At 37.3% G+C, this 25,350-nt stretch overlaps 1 protein-coding gene across 1 annotated transcript, besides 3 other annotated features; it reads left to right on the forward strand.

The window, feature by feature from the left end:
* Positions 14-1,009: an enhancer, noted in NCBI's record as "H3K27ac hESC enhancer chr14:57857288-57858283 (GRCh37/hg19 assembly coordinates)". NCBI's record gives its function as "activates a minimal SCP1, AML or CMV promoter by ChIP-STARR-seq in naive H9 embryonic stem cells {active_cell/tissue: H9 hESC(naive)}" and the evidence as "EXISTENCE:reporter gene assay evidence [ECO:0000049][PMID:30033119]".
* NAA30 (N-alpha-acetyltransferase 30, NatC catalytic subunit) lies at positions 30-25,350 on the forward strand. Its single transcript, NM_001011713.3, has 5 exons — positions 30-149; positions 401-1,172; positions 6,196-6,319; positions 9,272-9,327; positions 18,823-25,350. Exons 2-5 carry the CDS (start codon positions 402-404, stop codon positions 18,958-18,960), a joined length of 1,089 nt encoding a protein of 362 aa, NP_001011713.2. The 5' UTR covers positions 30-149; position 401; the 3' UTR covers positions 18,961-25,350.
* Positions 138-277: a silencer, noted in NCBI's record as "silent region_5792". NCBI's record gives its function as "represses an Ori minimal core promoter by ATAC-STARR-seq in GM12878 lymphoblastoid cells {active_cell/tissue: GM12878}" and the evidence as "EXISTENCE:reporter gene assay evidence [ECO:0000049][PMID:35858748]".
* Positions 408-557: a silencer, noted in NCBI's record as "silent region_5793". NCBI's record gives its function as "represses an Ori minimal core promoter by ATAC-STARR-seq in GM12878 lymphoblastoid cells {active_cell/tissue: GM12878}" and the evidence as "EXISTENCE:reporter gene assay evidence [ECO:0000049][PMID:35858748]".

Raw genomic sequence — 25,350 nt, forward strand, 5'->3', positions numbered from 1 at the left:
TTTACCCGGCCTAACAGCTGAGGCGCTTTACGGCGACGGCGGCTGAGTGAGAACCTTGGCGGCTGTGGAGGCTGCCGCGGCTGCGAAGGAGGCGGCGGCGGTGGCGGAGGAAGAGGAGTGGCGGCAGCGGCGGCGGGGACCCGTGCGGGGTGAGCCGTGAGGAGGGGCCGCGAGTGACAGGGCTGGCGGGTGGGCCCGGGCGGACGGGGACGGTGGCCGGCTGAGCAGCTGGGCGGCGCTGAAGAGCGGGGGGGTGGCGGGGAATTGGGGGGCAGCTCCGTGAGGGACGGTTTCTGCCTTTGTTCCCCCCACCTCGGCCGCCCCCCATCCGTCGCCCCCTGTTCTCCGCGCTCCTCGGCCGGGTTTCATGGCCTCCCCTCTCGGTCTGTGTCGCTTCTAGGATGGCGGAGGTACCGCCTGGGCCTAGCAGCCTCCTCCCACCACCAGCACCTCCGGCCCCGGCGGCGGTCGAGCCCCGCTGTCCCTTCCCGGCGGGGGCCGCCCTCGCCTGCTGCAGCGAGGACGAGGAGGACGACGAAGAGCACGAAGGCGGCGGCAGCAGGAGCCCGGCGGGCGGAGAGTCGGCGACGGTGGCGGCCAAGGGGCATCCGTGCCTCCGCTGCCCTCAGCCGCCGCAGGAGCAGCAGCAGCTCAACGGATTGATTAGCCCCGAACTGCGGCACCTCCGGGCGGCCGCCTCCCTCAAGAGCAAGGTCCTGAGCGTAGCAGAGGTGGCCGCGACCACAGCCACCCCTGACGGAGGCCCCAGAGCGACTGCAACAAAAGGAGCCGGGGTACACTCGGGCGAGAGGCCCCCTCACTCCCTCTCTAGTAATGCAAGAACTGCGGTCCCCAGCCCGGTGGAGGCAGCGGCGGCGAGCGATCCCGCGGCGGCCCGCAATGGACTGGCCGAGGGCACCGAGCAGGAGGAGGAGGAGGAAGACGAGCAGGTGCGGCTGCTGTCTTCGTCCCTGACCGCCGACTGCAGCTTAAGAAGCCCTTCGGGCAGGGAGGTTGAGCCTGGGGAGGATCGGACGATACGATATGTCCGATATGAATCCGAGCTACAAATGCCCGATATCATGAGACTGATCACCAAAGATCTGTCCGAACCCTACTCCATTTATACCTATAGATATTTTATCCACAACTGGCCACAGCTGTGCTTCTTGGTAAGTGGATAGAATAAAAAGAGGGTGAACCCAGCAGTGATCGAGACTGTGCGGGGCAGGGAGTGAGGGCCCAGAATGTGGCAGTGGATATCTCCTGCTGCGTATCATAGTACGTTATATGATGTCAAGTGCTGTACACATTCCTAGTTATTTAATGAAATTGTTTTGAAGGTAAGACTTCATGATTCGGGTTAACGTGATACTAGTGTAACTGCAGCAAGCCTGTATGGTGGCGTGTTTCACTGGGGTGGGGGTCTTGTGTCTTGTTTACATTAGATTATAATCGTGTTTAACCGTCTTTAATTACCCGCCCGCATCCTCAAACACTTTACAGTCATTTAATTTGAACATGGTTCTGTTCAGATACAGGCCTTATTAGTCTCTCGATTACAACCATAATCAGGGAAGAGTGTATGCATAAACATGTTGTGGTGAACATGGATGTCAGCAAACTTGGTGTGGTCATATTGGAGAATTAAATCTTACAAGCATTTTCGGTAATTATGGAGATGTTTCTCTTTACTTCAACTGGACAATTAACAGTTGTAGCCAGCCTGCTTTCTGGTACTCCATTCCAGAAAGCGCTACTAACACTTCTGGTGGCTGAAAGACTCCTGAAACTTGAACAAAATACCCTTTTGTGGAATGTAGAAAACTTGTGTGAAATTGTTACCGATCTGATTTTTTTTTTTTTAATTTAAGAAACTGGTTGTAGATGTGGCCAAACACTAGTAACACTGGCTTGTGTAGAGTATAATTGACAATAATATTACACGTAAGTGAAAGACTTTTGGACGGTTTTTAAAAATTAACATAGTATTGGCAGTACCAGTAATTTCTTCACAATAATATTGACCCATTTCAGTCTGTATGAACCCTTTAACTTAAACGTTGACTGCAGGTGTATGCTTTGTATCATGTGCTCACAAGCATATTGTTTCTGTTGAATTTTACTACAGAAAGATGACATCCTTTTAAGGAATATTTTTTAATATGTGAAGGGAAAAGCCACCATTACTTAATGTTTTAGCATTGGCTTAGTTTCACTTGGTAATTCCCTGCAAGATATTTTGACAATACTTATCTTTTTGATTCTCTAGCTTGGTGATAATTTGAAAATGTAACCTGGGTATTGTAGATAATGGTAGTTCTATTTTCTGTCTTAACTTGCTTAAACTTCAATTCAGTACATTTGTTAAAACTGTGGGTACTACTTTATATTCTTGAAAACTGCTCTTTCAGTATTCTAAGCATTGTATCAGAATAGTTCTAAGACATGTCTGTGTCAATGAATATGAGAAAATGATTTATAGCACTATTATAAATGTCATATCAAATGCCACTGTAATTGCTAAAAATTGTAGATTTAGTTGTAAGTTAACCCACAGAAGTAGATGATTGAGTCACATTTCAAGTTGAAATAGATGTTTTTCTGTCAATTCCAGGAAATAGTTGTGTATATGATATTTAGTCAACTTTGAGTCCTGATAGTTACCTAAGCCTCTCTCAACTTGTTTGCTATTTTAGACTCTGGTCAACAATATTAGTAAACTTTAGATTTGATTTTATGTAGAACCCTCCCAATTCACCAGCTAATGTGTATGTTAGCCTTTAGTAGCTCAAGTTTGTTTAATATTCTGAGTATCTAGAATTGCGATATGCACAAGTGGTTGACCTATAAGATTTACTGGTGCAAGTATGAATCAGGAGGTATTAAACAATAATAAAACAGTAAAAAAACAACCAGGCCATTTAAAACTGAAGCCTTTATCTTGGCATACTTTTAAATTTAAGTTTCCCATAGGAACTATTTTTTTAAAAATACAGATGCGTAAATGTCTGTTTATTTTAAATCATATCCTTTTAGAACTGAAAGCCATCCTAGAGATAATCTAGCCCAACTTAGGTTTTGTTCTGTTTTGTTTTTTGATTGAAAAAAAGTTAAGAACCAAAGTGACTTAAAATGTTTCAATCTCCAGATATTTACTGACAGAGGGGTAGGTTTTGTTTTGTTTTTTGATTGAAAAGAAGTTAAGAACCAAAGTGACTTAAAATGTTTCAATCTCCAGATATTTACCGTCGGAAGGGTAAAGCTAGAACCCAGTTCTCCTGGCCTCTCATTATGGTAACAAACAAGAACCTGAAAAATGACATACCCTTGATCCATTCAGTGAAGATTATTGTGTCACCAAGTTATCTTCACCAAGGGACAGTTGCCCTTACATCAATCTCAAGAGATTAAAAACCTCCAAAATGTTCCGTTTTCCGTGGATAACCTGTAATGGGTCAATGGAGTATATGGGGTTGAACCTTACAAAATTGCCAATACTTGATTAATAAAAATGATAGCTTATTATGATTCTTCCTAATTGTAAAAGATGTAAAAAAAAAAAAAAAAAAGGACAAATGTGAGACACTTTCAGTTACTCTGTACTTAACCATTTTATCTTTACCTGTTTTCATAGTAACATTTTCAGTTGTTGGTATCTTTTTGAAGTTCTTAAACTTACTCTCAGCAAATGTAACATAGTACTTCCATTTATTTGTTCTAAATTTAACTTTTTGGCTTCCTCCAGTTTTCTATTTGTAGTGTTCTAGAATTTGGGAATCTCTCACTTTATTTTTTTCATAGTTTTATAGACTGACAACCCTTTGGCCTTGTAGTGTTAAGTCTTAATCTTGCCGGGGATTTTTCAGTTCCCATCCTTGAAAAAATACATTTAATAGCGTGAATTCCAAATGTATATGCAGAGCTTTTATTTGGAAAAATTGACAAGCAATTTAGTGATTCCTGTAAATGTACCACATATTCATGAGTAGTTTATCAGGAAAAAAAAATGCAGCATTGGTCTTCACTACTAATGTCATCGTAATGGTGTATGATATATTGGGCTTTTTAGATGATGTATACAGCTTGATTTTTGCTCCTATAGATTCTAAATTAGGAAGAAATCAGGTCTTAAGAATGAACTAATTTAATATTTTGTTTGCTTATTCCATGCTCAAAGGACAAAGATTTGTTTGAAATTCCTGTTCAGATTGAAAGTACTGTCCAGTTGTATTGTGTTTAATGGTTTTAATTTTTCCTCATTTTTGGATAGTTTTATATAAGGTGTAGCTATTCTGAGGTTTGTATCATCAATCTAATACAGGTTTTCATTTCACCTGAGCCTGGCTTATGAGGTCAGGCCAAAATTTTTTCTGGCCCTTTTAAATATACCATTTGGTCTGTGATAATTTTATGTATGTGTATGTATTTATACGTGTCTGTATATACGCACATATATTTGAAGTGAGTTTCAAATCAGAAAAAGCTTTCAGAGTTGGTCGAGGCGATTTTTGTGCATACTTCAGGTCTTTGTTTAAAAAATTTTTTTAAAAGATTGATGTATTGTGAGGGAAAAAATTAGAAATAACAATTTCAGAGGTTTATTGACCCAAAATAGTTTTGGAATGTGTGATAAACCAGAAATGAATTAGCGTGGGTTGTTGAATTTCATATTCCTTCAAAAGGATTTTTCCGACCTAGTTTAGGTTTGCATGAAATGGATTAGAATTATCTTGCTGAAAAGATTTCTCCACAGTTAAAAAAAGGCCTTTTAATCAATTTACAGAATGACAGACTAAAAAAGTCACAAATTTAAAATATGTATTAATTATAAATTGGACATTACTTATTAGTTTTTTGACTCATTTCTGCTTTTGTTGAAATAGTTTCTTCTGGAAAGTTAATTTATGGAAAACAGACTTCTTACTGACACATTATTTAAACAGTTGGAGATACTGCCCTATTTATATTTACCAGAAATACTGTGTTACTAGAACTTTTTATCAGCATTGGAATTTTTGAAAAACATTTTCAATGGTAACACTAGAAATCTTAATGAAAATGGGGGATGATTAGAATTTAACATGTAGCTTTTAATACTCTGGAAAGCTGTACGTTTTTATTAAAATAGAAATTTCTGTAAAATTAAAGCTTTTAACATAAAGCTTTGATTTTGAACTATAAATATTCTGAGAGCTTTATGACAGTTATCCACACTATCAGGAGTATCCTAAAAATGAGACTATGCTACACTTACATATATTAACAAAAACCTCTTGGGTATGGTCTAAGCAATACCTTATAAACTGTGCTTTTTCTGAAAATTTTTAATTTTTTTTTCCTGATCGAAATCTACCATTCAGGTGTAAATATGTATTATATCTGGCTTTCACTAAAACTTTATTATTAAATTTATTTTCATTTTTTTCTTTTATTGAGATGGGGTCTCACTCTGTCACCTAGGCTGGAGTGCAGTGGCACGATCTCAGCTCACTGTAGCCTCTCCCTTCCTGGCTCAAGCCATTCTCCTATCTCAGCTTTCCAAGTAGCTGGAACTACAGGTGCATGCCACCACACCTGGCTAATTTAAGTAATTTTGGTGGAGACAGGGTTTTGCCATGTTGCCCACGCTGATCTCAAACCCCTGAGCTCAAGCAATCTGCCTGCGCCTGCCTCCCAAAGTGCTGGGTTTACAGGCATGAGCCACAGCACCTGGCCATTATTACTAAATTTAACTGAATATATTTAAATTTACATTCTGCTGATGGGCAAGTTTTACAATATTTTATGTCCTAATGAATAGACTTTTTCTTTATAATCATTTTTTTTTTGCATATTTCCCCTTCCAGAACCTTAGGTCTTTGTTGCAAATAATTGTGATTTTAAGCACCTCATATGTAATCTTATAAAGTACTTGAATGTTTACCTTGTGGAATCTTGTCTTTTTTCCCTAGGCTTTAATAGTAAGCATAAAAAATTCATGTTCTAAAGAATATTGAGAAATTTTAACACTGGAACATTTAAAGGAGTTAGGGGATTTAGATTTCTGAAACTTCTGTGACTGCTGTCTTGCAAGAGTTCCCATTATCTTCCCCCGTCGAAAATGCTTACCAATGGTTGGTTGTTGTTTTCTCTGGATAATTGTGCAGTACCTGATGGCAATGTATTCTTCATAACTGTTTGTTTATTTTTAAGGCCATGGTAGGGGAGGAGTGTGTAGGTGCCATCGTTTGCAAGTTGGATATGCACAAAAAGATGTTCCGCAGAGGTTATATAGCCATGTTAGCCGTGGATTCCAAATACAGGAGAAATGGCATTGGTAAGAAAAATATTATTTTATGGAAAGAATGCCTAAGCTATTTTCATTTTTGTTGTGTTTTGAAATAAAAGACTTAAATGTAAGTATGTAGAAATGAAAGAAACTAAGGGAAGAAAATTAAGGCGGGTTTTAATTTTTAATTTCAAAATGGTATTTTTAAAAAGTTCTTAAAATGAATTTTTTCTTTATTAATGTTTTGTTTGACAGTTTTTCGTTTTAACAAGTAGCCGATCATCAGCTTTCACCTGCAGATTTTTTTAATCACATTCAAAATGCTTTGCATTATGCTAAGTACCACAAGAAATACTGCAATTTATAATTACATTATGATGGTCCTTCATGCCAGCCTTCAAGCACTTGTCTGTATTTGGGTTAAGTGGACCTCAATCAAGCCAAAATTATGGACAAATTGTTACCATTACTTGGTGCTAGTCATCAACTATATATTGCAATTCAGGAAAGATCAGGAGATGAGAATTGATTGTTTCTTGTAATTCCCAAACTTAATTTTTTGTTGGGTCTACTTTTCCTGACATGTTTAGTTAATCTTAACACTCATGATTTATAATGATCATTAGAATCATGTGGGTGGTTTAAAAACATGTATTTGGGCCCCTCACCCTGAGACTCTTGTTTGTCTTGTCAGAGGTGGGGCTGAAGCTTCCCTAGGTGACTGTGATGTAAGCCTGATTAAGAACCACTCTTCTATGGCTGGGTTAGATAACTTTTGTCATTTAAATAACGCCATAAAACTCAATAGGCCACCAGGTGCCGGGTGCGGTGGCTCACGCCTATAATCCCAGCATTTTGGGAGGCCAAGGCAGGTGAGTCACTAGGTCAGGAGTTCAAGACCAGCCTGGGCAAGATGGCGAAACCCTGTCTCTACTAAAAATACAAAAATTAGCTGGGAGTGGTGGTGGGCACCTGTCATCCCAGCTACTCAGGAGGCTGAGGCAGGAGAATTGATTGAACCTGGGAGGTGGAGGTTGCAGTGAGCGTGCCACTGCACTCTAGCCTGGGTGACAGAGCAAGACTCCGTTTCAAAAAACCACTCTTCTATTCTCTAGGACCTAGTGGCTCTTTGTTCACAGTGGAGAATTGGGTAGACAAGCATTTGTCTAAGCATGTCAAATTTTGTGATGTGCTTTAGCTGAGTATTCATAAAAAAAAGTTTAATACCTGTACCAGTATTTAATCATTAGTTTTTTCACTTTCATGTTTTTTAAAAACTATTAAGTGTTATTGTCCAACCTAAGACTCACACACGGTCCTAGGTATCATGAGAAGTAACTATAAATAGGTTTACTTAATATGTTAGGTTTAGCCAACTTTATTGCAGTGTTACAGCTTTCCACTAAGATTTTTAATGAATTGGGCTTGTTTTATGGACTAAGTTTGAGCCTTTGATGCATTAAAAAGCACTGATAAGGACTCATGATAAATTATAGCCAATTGTTTGGCTAGTTTGGAGGGCAGAAACCAGTGGCTTTTGGGTTGCATCCTGGCCTTCAGACATACTTTGTTTGGGCCATAAAATGCGTGCATACTTGTATGCATGGCTTGAAAATTAAGAGTTTTTAATTTAATTTTATTATTTTTTGAGACAGAGCTTCGCTGTATTGCCCAGGCTGGAGTGCAGTGGTGTGATCCCGGCTCACTGCAACCTCTAGCACCTAGATTCAAGCAATTCTTGTGCCTCAGCCTCCCAAGCACCTGGGACTACAGGCACACACCACCACACCCAGCTGATTTATTTTTTTTATTATTATTTTTTTTTGAGATAGTCTCACTCTGTCGCCCAGGTTGGAGCGCAGTGGCATGATCTCGACTCACTGCAACCTCCGCCTCCTGTGTTCAAGTGATTTTCCTGCCTCCGCCTCCCAAGTAGCTGGGATTACAGGCACCCTCCACCTGTAATGCCTGGCTAATTTTTTATTTTTTAGTAGAGATGGGGTTTCGTCATGTTGGCCAGGCTGGTCTTGAACTCCTGACCTCCGGTGATCCGCCCACCTTGGCCTCCCAAAGTGCTGGGATTATAGGCTGAGCCACTGCACCCAGCCAGTTTTTTGTATTTTTAGTAGAGATGGGGTTTTGCCATGACCTCAGCCTCCAAAATGCTGGGATTACAGGCGTGAGCCACCACGCCTGGCCAATTTTTTGTATTTTTAATAGAGACGGGGTTTCACCATGTTGGCCAGGCTGGTCTTGAACTCTTGGCCTCAAGTGATCCACCTGCCTTGGCTTCCCAAAGTGCTGGGATTACAGGCGTGAACCACTGCGCCCAGCCTAAGAGTTTTTAAATAAAATTTGTCTGTCTGCTCTTAAAATCAGATTTGGCAAATTTTTTCCCTTTTAATATACCAATTATATTTGACCCTAAACTAGGATACATTTTGCTAGACATGTACAGACACACCACTGACATCATTGGGAGTGCCAGACTTGCCAGACTTCATCGTGCTCACTGTAAAGTTTATAGGAACCTACTGTGGGTAACAGCAGTTCTGATGAGGTTGTCTTGTCCCTTGTGTCCAGGGGAGTTTGAAGGATCTTTGGTGAGATCAGCTTGGGTTATGCAGTAAGTTCTGGCCAACTCACGGGGAGTTCCTGCGTTGTTCTGGCCATACCATATCTTGTCTTTTTCTCTTTCGCTTTCCTACTGCTTTCAAACACAATAGAACAAACTCCTGCTTGTGGCAAATAATTATGTCTGAGAAAAAGGAGTATATTGGGAGATAGGTCTTTCAAGAGGAAACATACTGTTATGTATAGGTTCTGTTGGCTTCTCTTAGCTTATAGCTAAAATTTTTCCCATTTAATTTGAGGTAATCCGTGTATCTGGATTCAAGATAGAAACTAGCATTTGACATTTCTGTGCTTACGAATATTATAATTTAGGTTATCTTTAAGAAATACATTTTTCCTTCATTAATACTCAGATCTATATTCTAGGTACTAACTTGGTTAAGAAAGCTATATATGCCATGGTTGAGGGAGACTGTGATGAGGTAAGTCTTTAAAAATGTTTAATATTTTTTATCTGGGCATTATTCTTTCTGGGTATTTTTAATAAATATTTTATAATTTATTGCAGATTTCATTGCAGTGTTACTATACAAATGCAGCTTGTGGGGAAAATTATATTCCATTTAAAAACACATGAATTTTTGACCTAGAACAAATTTTAAAATGGAGCTAAAATTTCTTCAAAATGTGTGGGGGGAATCTTAGACATTTTCAGTACACAATTTTGGTATTCAGAGGCTTTATCATCAGTTATTTAAGGTAGCTCTTATTACAGACTCTGTTATAATTTGCTTACATATTGGCCTTAGTTTCTGACAATGGGAAACTGTCAGTCTATATGGAGGACATTTCACACTTGAAAATAATCTTTTCAGAATTAAATAATGACAATGTTGGCTAGGGGGAAGACAACCACTTTTAAAGAGTAGAGCTATCTGCGCATTAACATAAGAGCATTTTCTCTCTTCAGCTTGTTTGTAAGGTCTGATGGCAGATATTTCTTTGTATCCTACTGCACGGTGTTTCTACATATAGTAGGTGCATGATAAATATTGGTGATGATTGGGAATGTTAACATTTACTGTTGCACAGTGTGGAAGGGAACAAGTATAAACTAGAGAAGTATAGATGTCTTTAACATAGCAGTGGTGACTAAGGAGGAGCAAAGTTGTACTAGTACTTTTATGAGTAATAGAAGTAGCAATTGTCTTTATTATTAGAGGTCAGATGTGCCTTAGAGAATTCTCAAAATATGTGAAATTGGGTAAGTTTTTTTAAAAGGTTGACCTTAATAAATAATTTGTTTAGTGACTTAAAAGAAATGGAGTGTTTTGGTACAAAATTTATACACAGTCAGCATATATGATATATGTATGCATGTGTTTTTGTTAACAAAGTCCCTTCTACCATTCTCATGCTTTTCAACTCTTTATCCATCTTTCCATTGATAGCTACTGTTTTTTGTTGTTGTTTGTTGTTGTGGGGTTTTTTTTTGTTTTTTTTTTGTTTTTGTAGAGATGGGAGTCTTGCTATGTTGTCCAGCTGGAGACCACTCCAGCTCCTGGCCTCAGGTGATCCTTCCACCTCAGCCTCTCAAGTGTTGTGATTACAGGCATGAGCCGTTGCTCCTGGCCTGTTGCTACTGTTAACTGTTTGAAATGCTTTCTCTCATTTTTTAAACACACCTATGTGCAAATATATAGTTTTTAAAAATACAAATGAAGTAATTCTTATTCAATAATTATTAGCAATAATAATTGCTTTTTTCTTTTAACAATATCTCATGAATGCATTTCCGTGTTAGAATACAGAGATTTACTGCTGAGCATTCTCAGGCTCCTTGTTCACATTAGGCTCTATTCTGACAGATCCATTCTAAGTGGTGGTTATATGAGAAGGCCTACAGACATAGTGGGTGGCACAGTGAAGTCATCCTGGGATTTAAAAATATCTAATTTTACTCCAAAGAAATAATTCACAGGTGTTGAAGGATCTCACATTGTTCACAGCTTTTAATATTATAATGCAAAAGGTGCAGTCGCCAAAGCTTTACATGACTGGTAACTGAAATTTCGAGGAGAGAATTGGATCAGATATGTTCATGAGTATAGGTCCATGTTTGGACCATAGCCACACTGCTTGTCAGCTCATCGAGAAAAGTCAGGTTTCACAAAAGTTGCTTAACAGCTTGGAGAAATCTTCGGGATAATAGATCATGTTTTGATCTTCTGCAGATCCAGTGAACAGGGGTGTTAAGAGCAGAGAGTATTATGTTCCCTATGATTAAACCTTTTCTGAGTTATCCTACTTGCTATCCTAAGTTACTACTTGTGAGGCAGGCTATGTGCTTTTGTTTAACTGTTCAAAGGTTTGGATAGTGTTGGCTTTTCATGTAAAGATGTCAGGAATGATATGAAGATTTTTATTGTTTTGGTCTCAAGGTTAAATTCTAAATTAATGATATATTTTATGGTAGAAAAACTTCATTTCCAGCCTAAAAAGCTAATGCTGATTCATTCATTTTTTCTTTTGAAACAATGAATGTTACTTAATCTTTAGGCTGACATCAGGGATAGCTTTGTGAACTTTCTCCTTTTGTATGATTATGGTTTTGCAGTTTGTGAATACCTCTGTCTCTGGATTAGATAACTTTGTCTTGGTATAAAAATTTTGCTTATCTGTGTCCAGTGTTATTCAGATCGAATAATTTGCCATACGAACTCTTGTTTACTCTTTAGAAGATATGGTAGCTATTTGGTTTTCCTTTGCTTGTTAAAATACTTTAGTCTTTAAGACCCAATTCAAATACCAACAACTCCTTTAAGTTTTTCTTGATCCTTCTGGACAGAATCCATTTCACTTTTCTGTTATTTTTGCTACTCTTTTTGTAATTATTGCACTTAATTTCACTTGTTCAGTGCCTTAGCACAATGTAGGACAGAGATGCCTTCTCTTGTTTGTTGCTGTATTCTTAGTGCTTAGTGTGACATTTGTGATAGAGTACCTGCTTTGTAAATATTTTTTGAATGATCAGTTCTGTGCTTCCAGCATGATGTTTGTAATCCCTCTCTCTCTTGTTTAAGTACTTTTAAATTTTGACTTGTATTGTTATTAACTTGTCTTTCTCTCTGAACTTTCTGTGTGCTTTCTAAAAACACCAATTGTCTTATTTTTGTTCATAGTAGGATTTTTTTTAAAAAAAGGCATCTTTAGGGTTAACCAAGTTGTTAAAATGCCTTTGAAATGATAAATCTCCAAAAATACAGCGATTAATGAAAAGGCAAATAAACATGTGCTTTCACTTTCATTAATTTAGACCAACCTTCCTTTCTTTTAAAGGGTTTAGAAATTTTGACAAATTATCTGAAAATCTGTGAAAGACATTTCAGAAGGGTTTTAAATTAGATTTTCTACTACTTAGGTTATTCTGCTATTTTTAAAATTCTTACAAAGAGAGAGATTTTAAAATCTGTGAACCTTTTAATAGAGGTACATTTGGCCAGGCACTGTGGCTCACGCCTGTAATCCCAGCACTTTGGGAGTCCAAGGCTGGCGGATCACTTGAGGTCAGGAGTTGGAGATCAGCCTGGCCGACATGGTGAAACCCCGTCTCTACTAAAAATACGAAAATTAGCTGGGCGTGGTGCCACACGCCTATAGTCCCAGCTACTCGGGAGGCTGAGGCAGGAGAATCGCTTGAACCCGAGAGGTGGAAGTTGCAGTGAGCCAAGATTGCACCGCTGCTTTCCAGCCTGGGAGACAGAGTGAGACTCTCATAAAGAAAGAGATACATTTGGAAATCTCCGTGAAACCTTACTGTGCTCCGTGGCCGGAAAAAAAAAAAAAAAAAGATACATTGGAAATCTCTGTGAAACCTTACTGTGCACATCAAACAATTTTTACTTTCTATTCTGTATACAGAATTTGTGACCTTGAGTCATGTTTATATTGTTCTTTGTTGTTACTAGTCATTTTAAGCTCAGAGTATTCAGCCAGTTATTAGTAATCACAGAATTGAAAGGTAGATGTTTTTCTCCAAATAATGCTGCACTGTTCCTAGTCTAATTGATGTTTTCATTTTGTCTTACTGTAAGTTTCCCAACTTTTCATATCAGAATTAGACATATGTTAAAACAGTATAGCTAAAAAATTTTTTCATTTTCTATGTATTTGGAGCTGACTAAAAAATTATAGTATCAAAACAAGAAACAAGTGGATTTGTTACTTGATGAGTAAGAAATATATTACCAGTATGCTGATCTGGCTTAAATTTGTTTACACCCCCTGCACGCTCTGGCTGCCAGATGTGTAGTGGCTAGGACAAGTATCTCAGGTTCATGTTTCACAATAGAAGAAAGAATAAGATAAATACATATAGAATGAATGAGTTTTCTATGATGTAGATTTTAAAATAGGATCTGTGTACCTAAAATCAACCTACTTGGTGGCCATTTACATTTATGTACTTTTTTTCCTGAAGTAAATTAGAATATGGGCAGGTGATTGATCAGTATCAGTATGATGAATAGTGCCTCGATTTTTAAGCCATTGATATCCTTAAAATCTTAATCTCTGAAAACTTCAAGGTTGTTTTTGTTTTGTTTTGTTTTGTTTGTTTGTTTTGTTTTTAGAGTTTTAGGCTGAGCACGGTGTCTCACGCCTGTAATCCCAGCACTTTGGGAGGCCAAGGTGGGTGGATCACGAGGTCAGGAGTTCGAGACCAGCCTGGCCAATATGGTGAAACCCCGTCTCTACTAAAAATATACAAAAATTAGCCAGGTGTGGTGGTGCGTGCCTGTAATCCCAGCTACTGGGGAGGCTGAGGCAGGAGAATCACTTGAACCCAGGAGGTGGAGGTTGCAGTGAGCCGAGATCGCGCCATTGCACTCCAGCCTGGGGGCCAGAGCAAGACTCCATCACACACACACACACAAAAAGAGTTTTTAGGTCGATTACTGTGAATATGAATAGCCAGAGATAACTGATCAGAATACAGTGGAATTAGGATTTCTTAATGGAATTTATAGTATCTTAAAATATTTTTAGTTGAAAATCACGTCATCTAATTTTTGCTTATTTATATTAAAGACATTTTTTCCATTGAAAAACCGTAATGAACATTACAGAAAACTTGGGAAACAGAAGAAGAAAGTTCACTACCTACCTTTCTAGCACGTTGTATTAGTCCGTTTTCACATTGCTGATAAAGACATACCTGAGACTGGGCAGTTTACAAAAGAAAGAGTACCACGTTGGATTTACAGTTCCACATGGCTGGGGAAGCCTCAAAATCATGGCAGAAGGCAAGGAGGAGCAAGTCGCATCTTACGTGGATGGTGGCAGGCAAAGAGAAGAGAGCTTGTGCAGGGGAATTCCTCTTTTTAAAACCATCGGATCTCGTGAGACTTAATTCACTCACGAGAACAGCACGGGAACGACTTGCCCCATGATTTAGAGACTCCCACCAAGTCCCTCCCACAGCACATGGGGATTCAGGATGAGATTTGGGTGGAGACACAGCCAAACAGTATCACACATCCAATTTGGTGTTTTCTTTCCATTCTTTTTTTGTTGCGTACATTTATTTTTACTAGACAGTTTCTTCTGTAAATAGTATGCCATGTAACTTGCGGCAGACTGTTTACAATCTGCTATTCAAACCCATGACTTTCCCTGCAACCTGATTTGCTTGACCTACTTAATGCTACTTATTTCTAGCAATATAAAGGTAATGCAAAAGACATTTTGGTAAATTTTAGATAATATAGTAGCTGACTCTATTTTGTACAATTAAAAGAATAAAATAGATCACATTAGCACTAATGAGTAAATTAGATTATTAGGAGCCAAGAAGATCTAAGTTATTTTTTGAAATAACTTATACTTTTCTAAATTAGAAAAGTCCAACTTAGAAAAGGTACAGTCATTCTTTTTCCCCCATTATAAAAGGTTACTTTTTATCTTTTTAATTAGACTATATTTATTGTGTTTATTATGTATTTACTAATAATATATATGTGTATATATATATATATAAAACATCTTTAGTTTCACTGGAAACATTATGCTATGTGATAGAGCCTGCAAGGTAAAGAACAGAATACAGTGGGGTTAGTTAAGCTGCAAGGATTTTGGGTGAGTAGTTTGGCCTAATAACTGATTATGAGACACCTGGTTTCCATATTTATCTTCTGTCACTTGGCAGTTGTGTGATTGTAGGCAGGCCATTTAACTTTTTCTGGTCTCTCTCTTTGTCTATGCAACATGATGTTAATTCTGATCTTAAAGATACGTTGTGAAGAGCAGTACTGTTTGTTGTTCATTCAGGAAATAGCAGTGGAAGGGCTTCTAGGTGCCAGACAGTGTGGTAGTGCTAAAGTTCTAGCAGTGAACAAGCCTGCTCTCCAGGAGCTTCCAGCCTACAGTATTAAAAAATACTATCTTAAGCAGTAATGTTTTGTAATGGTTTGGCTTATCCTGATAATGATCTGTTACTGTTGCTAAGAGGATCGGTGGAATTTCACTGTAATTTTTTTTTCTGTTAGGTAGAATTCAACTCTGTCAAGTTTCTTTAGGACCAAAATAACTTCATTTTATGGTGAATTTCTAATATAAATTCAGATATTCTTTTAATATGTTTATAAGAATTTAAGAATTAAAAATTAGTTACTTTATCCTGGCATTTTTCTGTTGTGTCAAATAATTTTCTAAAGAAAGAATCTCTTTGTTTAGAAAATATGAGTGTGCCAGGAGAATCTTTACATTTTGACTAGATTAGACATTGGTGTAACTTTTTTCTATGTAATTGAGCTTCATTTCATTAATATATTAGGATGCAAACAAACTTGAACTCAGTTCTTAACCACACTTTAAGTGTGTATTTGTGTAGTGGTGGTAGCCTCAGATGTGTTTGGAATATTTTAGATTGCTAAATATTGATGGTGGACTTAAAATCCATTTCATCTTGTCTTAAGTAGGTTAGATTTCCCAGTCACTGCTTTGCTTTACTTTGGGAAATGAGGGGGAGGTACAGTAGAGTAGTTACTATTAAGCTTTAGTTCATAATTGGACTCTGTTCTGTCCTTGCTCTGTTGGTGGCCTTGAGTTTTATTCATCTGTAAAATGGATAACCACATCAATTTCATAGGGTTATTGTGAAAATAAAACTACATAATACATATAGAATGCTTTACATTGCACATAGTACAGCTCCAATAAATATTAGCTGTCATATTTTAAAATTGTCACTTTTTATTTACGTGAAATCAATTCCAAGTTTTGAGTTGTTGTGACTTTAGTGTTTCTCATATTAAATTGCTTTGATTCAACATTTTAGCTATAATTAGGTGCTGGACCTCATAACAATTGCAGGAATTACCCAAGAGAATTGTTAAAAACTAAAAACTTGTATTGACCAGACTGTGGTGTTACAGACTCTAGTATGACATACGTTACTAGAAATTTAATTATGTCTGTGTGTGTATGTGTGAGTATTTTAATTTGTTTTTTGAGACAGAGTCTCGCTCTGTCACCCAGGCTAGAGTGCAGTGGTGCACTCACAGCTCACTGCAGCCTCAACCCCCTCGGCTCAAGTGATCCTCCCACCTCTGCCCCTCCAAGTAGCTGAGACTATAGGCACACACCACCACACCTGGCTAATTTTTAAGGTTTTTTAGACATGGGCTTTCACCACGTTGCCTAGCCTGGTCCCAAACTCCTGGGCTCAAGTGATCTGCCTTGACCTCCCAAAGTGCTGGGATTATAGACATGAGCCACCAAACCTGGCCAAATTGTGTTTTTTTTAAGTGCAGAGAGAAATTGACGTTTACTTAAACCAATTTGTTTGCTGTACAACTTGTATTTTAGGTTTTCTTAGGAGCGTGTTTTCTTGATCCTGAACTGTTAATTACTTCATTTTAGATCTTTTAAAGGTTTAGATTTAGCATTGGTCCCTGCTGTTGTTGGGCTTACCAGCTAGGAGAGATGACATACCACTCATCAAATGTTGAATAAGAATGTGTCATAGGAACGGTGCAGAATGTTGCTGGGTGATATAAAAGGAAAGGGGCACTGTACCCAATCCAGAAGTGACAAGGTAGGGCCAAAAGAGAGGAGGATAGGAAGAGCATTCTTCTAGACAGAAAACAGTTTATTTGAATGTTCTAAGGTGGGAAAGATCATGGTGGGTTCCAGAAACTGAAAATTCAGTGTTGAGCATGGAAAGCAAGAAGAGAGAGACCTAAAGCAAAGCTGAGGCCAATATATTGATGGACTTTTTATGTCTCTTGATATTATTTTTAGATTGTGGACTTTCTCTTGAGGACAAGAGGGAATCAGTAAACGGTTTTAAGTAGAGAATTAACAAGAGCATCACCCTAACTCTAGAGAGAATGGGAGACCTCTTGAGTTAGGAGGCTCTTGTAATTATAGTGAGAGTTGATGGCAGCTTGGACTGTGGTATATCGAGCATAGAAAGAAGAGGACCACTTAGAGATTTAAGAGGGAGAATTGACAATAATCAGTGCTTGGATGCATATAGGTGGTTGGAGAGGAATGAGGTTCAAAGATGACTCCTGGGTTTCAGGTTTGAGGCATTGGTGTGGTGGGGGGTGATCCTGTTTACTGAGATATGGAATTGAGGAGGAAGAGCAGATTATGAGTTCAATTTTGGATATAAGTTGAGGTACTGTCTTTATTATTTGCATCAGTTGTTTGCATTCTTGTCAGACTTTTTGATAGCTTGAGAAAGAACAGGAAGAGACTTATGCTTCACTTGGGCCTTTGTTTAATTATACTTTGCCATTTCCCCCCCACCCACTCCAAACACTTGAGGGTTATGACACCCAATAGTAACTGTGGCTCACTGTGTTGATAGTTCTCAATGAAATAAGTTGAGAAACAATTGAAAAGGCAAATAGAGCTACGTGTGTAAAAGTTGGGAAGATGGGGTAGAGGGTGTTAGAGGGAGGTAAAAATAAAATCGCAGTTTTCAAAAATACCAGTTATTCATTGTCAGGGCCACTGGCTCAGTAATATTTCAAAAGACTTAAATGAAAGTTAATACTATGTGTTCCTCTGTTAAGCTTTGCTATATAGACCAGTGGTTCTCAAAATGTGGTCCCTTGACCGCAGCAACATCATCATCTAGCAATTTAAAAATATTAAAAATGCAGATTCTTGTGTCCTACTGCAAACGTACTCATAAACTCTGAGGGTGGGGCTCAGCAATCTATTTTAACAGACCCTTCAGGTGATTATGATACACTGTAACATTTTGAATACCTCTTGTCTGGATTCAGCAAACTTTCTTGGTAAAAGGCCCACTAGTAATTATTTTAGGCTTTGTGGACCATAGGTCTTTGTGGCAACTGCTCAGCTCTGCCCTTGTATTGAGAAAGCCACCACAGACATCATGTAAACAAATAAACATGGCTGTTTGACTAAAACTTTATTTACAAAACAGCAGGCACATTTGGCCCAAAGTCTATAGTTTGCAGACTCTGGTCGAGACTCCAGACAAATATGGTAGTTATTGCCAGAATAAATGACATATTAATGAAAATACAGAAGTTGGAAGTCAATCTGAATAGCTGCTTATAATAATATAGCTTATTATTTTAAGGAAATAAACCAGCACTTTTGATTGTTGATTTTATTTTCATCTGTAGTCATTTTACCTTTCCCCACAGGGAAATAATTAATCTTTGTTTTAGTATAAAACATACTCTCATTGCTAAACATTTCAAACTACACAAATCAGTAGAACAGAAGATAAATCTGCAGTGGTCCTCCAAGCCCTTGACCCAAATATAATATTACAATCTTGATGACTGTTTTTGAGTTCTTTCTGTATATTATTTATTGTTTTCACTATCAATTTTTAAAATAATGTATGATTTTTTAAAAAATTGTTTAGTTGGTAAATTATTTTTTAAATTGTGTAATTATAACTTAGTTTTTTTCTCATTTCTTTGAAGGTTGTTTTGGAAACCGAAATAACAAATAAGTCCGCTTTGAAACTTTATGAAAATCTTGGTTTTGTTCGAGATAAGAGGCTGTTCAGATACTATTTAAATGGAGTTGATGCACTGCGACTTAAACTGTGGCTGCGTTGAGAAACTGACATCAAGGAACAACTATCATCCGCACAGAATCGACCTTTGCATGCAATGCAATTTGTACAGAATTGCTTTGCAGGTGGATTTAGTAATTTCCATGCAGCTCTTACCTGTCAGTGTCTCATTGAGTGTCGCACAATATTTGTTGCACTTTGGCATGGCACATTTGTTCTGAATTAAAAGATTGTTTTAAACTTCAGGAGTTCTTTTGGTACCAACAAGATGTGCCAGTTGATAGCCAAGATTTATGTGTTCATTTGCAAAGTCTGCTGACAATGTTATTTACACAGTGATCATTTTATCACAGAACCAGTAAGTGGAACATAATTTTTGTTCCTTAAAAAAGCCAATGTGGATTGTAAAAGTCTTTAAGTATACTAACATTTCACACAAAACCTGCCCTAGTTTTCTGAAGTGGGTGAGGGAGACGCTTCAGTTTTAGGTTTTATTTTTTCAATATTAAATTTTCCATTCTTGAATATTGGTACCTCAGTGATTAGTGAATGAAAAAAATGTAGGGTGGGTATGTCTTACAATGAGTAAAGGTAACAATTAAATTTTGTCTGCCAGTGCCTGTGTAGATAAGTATATTTGTCTTCATCTCTAGTTTTTGAATGCATGCTATCTTTTCCTTTTCTTTAAGGCCTTTGCAAGCAAACTTTTGTTTTTATTTAAATTCTAAATTTGATAAATTATTTCAGATTTTTATAATTTGGATACTTTTTTCAGGTGAATGAAAGAATGGTTTACTTTAGAAGTCCCTTTTTCCTTACAGTAACAAGTTGAATCTACTTGGAAAATTGAGAAATGGCTCAAAAGAGATAAGAAAAGTTGATGGAGCCGGGAATTGCTGGGGTTTAGATGCACTTTTTCTTTTGAGAGTAAGGGAAGTTTTGGAAAAGAATAGAAAATTAGTGTAAGTTGATATGATTTTATTTAATCAAAATTACTGCTACGCTGCGAAGAACAGCTTTTACAAAGTAGCTGAATTTGTTTTTCCCACTTGATTTGGATTCACATTGCTTTCATTTCTTAAAATGCTTCACTTCAGGTTCTTGGTCTTGGAAATAAATTTCAAGGTGCATTGTATCCATTTTAAGCTGCTTTATTTTATTTTCACTTGTATGAGCAAATTCTTGGGGGAGCTTTGCTTTTCTTCTGCCAGAAAAACAAAAGGGGGAAATGAAAATCTTTTTTGGAATGAGTTCTGTGGGTTTTCTTAACAGCCACCATGTTTATTAGTTACATTGTGTTTTGGCCAATCAGTGCAATGTAACAAATTTTACAGTTAATTGCTTTCAATTGAGTCAGTAAACCTGTGATAGATAATTTATTTAACTGGAAAACCTAGGTACCCATAAGAAAAAAGATTCATTCTCTGTGAAAACTGTAGGAATCTGTTGTTGTTTTCATTTGAATATGCTCTACTTCTGCTCTAGTATTTGGTTTGGAATATATTTTGTGGCTCTAATTACTGTATTTTTAAAAACCCTACCTCCATTAACAGTTGGTAAAGGCCCCTTTTCAGGAAAGTTTGTTGCTTTTTTTTTTTTTTTAAAGGAAAGCTGCTCTTTGCTCAGTATAGTGTTTTGAAAGTGAACATAGTAACAAATACTTTAAAAATAAAGATACACAATTTATATTTGAAAATAAAAACTTTCTGCTGGTGGGATTATTTATAGTTCTTTATTTTTAAAGAAAATGTTTTCCTTTTTATATTGCTCTTGAAAGTTTAATGAGCAGAATACAATACTGGTTATAATAAAAATATGGTAACCACACAGTACTCAGCCTTTCAATATGTTTTTGGTCAAACTTCATTTAGGCACTAGCATTTAGAAGAATACCAATCACAGTGATGCTTTTGTTATTTAATATGAAGGAAATGGAACTAAAACATTTATGTCATCAAATTTTATTTCACTTCTTTATATTTGACTTGCTGGTTGATACATAATGGTTGATGAACATATATTTGCTTAAATCACTAATAGGGATGGTTGTAAAGTAGATAGATCATTGGTTCAACCATTTTAGTGTTTTTGCCAGATTGTCAATGAAACCATCATACTGACCTTTTCCTCCAAAATTGCCAAATTGACTGAACTGGTTGGGTGTTTGTAAAGATGACGTTAACTGTGTGACTAAAAAGTCAGATGGTTGCCATATTGTTTGGAATATGTTGAATGTCAGTGTATGCCTTATGTCTTTAATTGGGTATGCAAAAAAATTTTTACTTAAGTAGATTAAAATTTTAACCTCTAGCATGAAAACCCAGCACCAACACTGAAAGACTCCATTCAGGTTGAAGTAGCCTCAAACAGTAATTTACTTTTTGATAATAGGCTGTTGTTTTTCTTAAATAAGCTTAAAACAATTCTATCTGAAATTGGTAGCATGGGTTCACTTGGCTACAACTGAGCAAAATAGATGCAACTTTCTTTTAATGGGGTGCTGCCTCTTTAGGACTGACTGTACTATCCACTGACACTGGTTTGGCAGTTGGTACTGCTGAACATTTTTATACATGCTACCATGAAGCTATATATGTTAGTATTGAAGAAGCTAACGGGTATACTATCATTTTTGATGTGTGGGCTGATTATAATTTCCTGTATTTCCTGTACATTGGGATGAAACTACTTTAGCAAAGTCCACAGATCAGAAACCAGACGGTAGTTTTTGAAGTTGAAACCAGCAAAATAAGAAAAAATAAAAAATCGATTTTAATATTTTCTGCCTCTTTCCCAAATTACCCTTCCCACTTGCTCGACAAATCTATGTAAAGCAGTTTGTTTTTTCATGTTTTAACTTTACCTTGCCCTGTGTTATGGTACTGGCTGACATGTCTAAGACTGGATGTGTATATTTATTATGGTGTCTAAAAATCATGAAGTTCATCACTTTTCAGGAGTATAGATAAAATCAAATTGGTAGTACATCAGAGTTACTTTTCAGTGCACCATGACATCACTAAAATGAGTGCTGTAATGTTACAGGGCTTTCAGGTTTGTAAAAACATAACCATAAATTATATTGACGTCAGATATGAGTTGAGTATCTATAAAATATCACGTGTATCTCAAAATATTGGACTGCTGTTTGACTGGATATTGCTGCATAATTTTCTTCTATTGTCCCATATCCTTTTGGAGAGAGATTTAATGGGATTTGAAATGTGCAAGCTGTCTAAATAAGATGCAGTCAAATAAAGTATGGTTAAGTTGTGTTTGCATTTTTCTTTTAGATACAGCTGTGTGCATTTTATGATTGGGTTGTTTTGCTTTTACCTACTAAGTAAAACAGCAACAAACAATATATTGTTTCCCGCTTCCTGCCTTTCATCTAAGAGTTACGGGGAAGAAGTATTACATAATTGTCATCACTGTTGTGTGTTCTGACAAAGTAAATTTGAAAATAACATGAACTTGATTTTTCTAAAAGTACTCAGTCAACTCATATGTCAGTTATCGGTACATTTTCCATGTGTTCAGTCAAAAGTTTATCTTTTTAGTCTGTTTCATAGCAGTTTATTTCTAAGACAGTTTTTATTTTAATTTACTTTTTTGTCTGTACACTGCCACTCTGTAATGTTCCCCCCACCCCATCCCACCCTTGGTAAGACACCAAAGTAAAATAGAGCAATATCCAAAGAGCTTTTTGCCCCTGTCTTGTGAGGAGCTTTAAATAGCTGTGAATACTTCTGTATGTCAAGATTTTCGGATTTTAGTGGAAGGATGAAATGATCTGTTTTAATCATTTAACTGCTAAATTACTTTTATCATGCATGCCAAATCTTTACATTATTCTTTAGAGTAATACTGTAAAAGTATCTGAGTTTGTTTTATTTGGGCCTTATGTGGAACTCGAAATACTTCATAAATTCACTCTAAGGTCTAAATAAGAACCAGAAGGTTGATACCATTTTTTCACACCAGTAAACACAGATCAGTATTAACCTGTAGCCCAGAGGTGTTAGATTTATTTTTTGAGACAGAGTCTCACTCTGTTGCCCAGGCTGGAGTGCGGTGGCACAATCTTGGCTCACTGCAACCTCTGCCCCCTGGGTTCAAGCAATTCTTGTGCCTTAGCCTCCTGAGTAGCTGGGACTACAGGTGCATGCCACCACGCCCAGCCAATTTCTTGTATTCTTAGTATGAGACAGGGTTTCACCATGTTGGCCAGGCTGGTCTCAAACTCCTGACCTCAAGTGATCTGCCCGCCTCGGCCTCCCAAAGTGTTGGAATTACAGGCGTGAGCCACCACGCCCAGCCTATGATATTCTTTTTATAAGCAACTTTTAAAAAGTTTTTTAAAAGATCTCATAAGCATATAGCACTGCTACACTTTAGATCACTACTGTCCAGTCACACTTTATATAAGGATAGATGTGTCCTTTTCACTCCCCAGTATGGTAGTTACTAGTCACATGTGTAGCTACTGAGCCCCTGAAGTGTGGGTGGGATGATTGAGCTGAATTTGTAATTTTAATCAAAGTTAGCCACATGTGGCTTGTGGCTACTGTATTGGACAGCAGAGCTTTAGATAAGCAGTAATAACAGGAAGGGAGTGTTTGTATAGGTTGAAAGATAAAATGGAAGGATCACAATTAGGCCAGATGTGGTGGCTCACGCCTATTATCCCAGCGTTTTGGGAGGCTGAGATGGTAGTTTGCAACCAGCCAGGACAGCATAGCAAGACTGTTTCTGAAAAATCTTTTAAAATAACACAACTAAAAATTACCTCTGAGCAAGAGTATAGCTGAACTGTTTATACTGACAATATATTTCATTAATACAGTGTTTGACCACTTTCCACCCCACCAACCACTGCCCTTGTTATGTAGCCTTTCTGAGAAAAGCAGCCCTTTCAGATTTTATTGTTGGAAGTTCCTTGGGTTGCAGAGATGCAGATTCAAGTGCCAAAAGTTGTTTCTGATGAGACTTACCTTTTTAGCCTTAAAATATTTGTATAGTTGGCTCTAATAATTTCTCATTTTTGATGAATTTGAAATCATTTCACTTCTAAATGAGATTGGTCATCTCATGAGTGGTCAAGTTGGAACATGGAGGTCTATCATGTTTTTAACCTCCAAGATCCACTTATGGGGATGAGGCCAAAGGCCAATGTTACTTCTAGAAGAACCAGATTAATTTTTCTGCCTTCCATCACCGCAGTGTATTACCTTTGACCCTCGCTGGTCATCTGGTAAGTGTAGTTCATCAAAAGAGCAGAAATAGGCATAGTAAACACCTGGACACAAAGACAGTGCCAGGCTTGGTACAACCTGTTAACACTGTTGAGGAAAGAGCTCAAAACATGCATTACTTTGGGGATTAAGTCAGTGTTTAATCTCAATATGAAACAGACCTAGAAATAACAAAGACCACTGAAGTGCCAAATTTATCTTCTAATACTACTATTTAAACTATGCAATATGGGGGTTATAATGAAATAGTTTTAGTCTATGTAAGGTTTTTATAATGCTAAGAAATAAGCTTATTTTTAGATATGGATTTTTTATGACTACCTCTTTGCTGTATGAATATCTTAATTTTCTAATACCTCAGTTTCATGAGAACTGTATGTACATTTTTGTAAATAAAATAATTTACCATATACTAGGAGAAGGACCTGCTTTTAAAGAAATTGTGTAAAGACATTTGTTATTGGATGTGTTACATAGTAAATCAATTTGAAATTTCTTAAAAACGTTTATAAGACTTTTCTGGTCTCCTTGACCGAGGGATTTTAGTATAAGTATTTAGTGAGATTTGTATTCTAGGAAGTGTGTGCCGTCACTTGTTCATTTACAACTGCAAAGATTGTATGTCTCCTATGTTTTCCTTTCATGCCAAAGAAACTCACCCTTTTTAAAAGCCAGCAGGTTGCACAAACCAAAAACAAAATATTTTGCCCCTTAAATAGGCATTTTAAGAAGTTTTATTTCCTGGTACTTAAATATTGTGTAGAGGGAAAGCTAGTTGTAATAATTTGTAAAAATGCGTGTATTTTTAGGAATGCGCTATTTCCAGTAAGGGAAGTATTGACATTTTTAAGGAACTGTGCTGCATTAAAATCCACAGTTGCATGAAACTTTTAAAAGTTTAAGATATAAAGTAATTGCTAAAATTTGTGAACTACTCAGAGGACTCAATGCCCTAACATGTAGGGGATTGATCATTGCGATGTTTAGGCCAGGATTTCTCATGATTGTATATGGTTATTGATCATTTTTAAGGGGCTGAACCTGCTGCCTTTATACTTTTGACACCTCCCTCCCTCCCTCCCTCCAAACTGTGGCTGTAAACAGTGACTCTGCATAGTCAGCGTTATACTTGATTTCTTTGTGAATGCAAATAAAATAAAATTTGTAAGTCCACCAAA

Source organism: Homo sapiens, chromosome 14, assembly GCF_000001405.40.
Source record: "Homo sapiens chromosome 14, GRCh38.p14 Primary Assembly".
In the NCBI taxonomy this organism is placed as follows: Eukaryota; Metazoa; Chordata; class Mammalia; order Primates; family Hominidae; genus Homo; species Homo sapiens.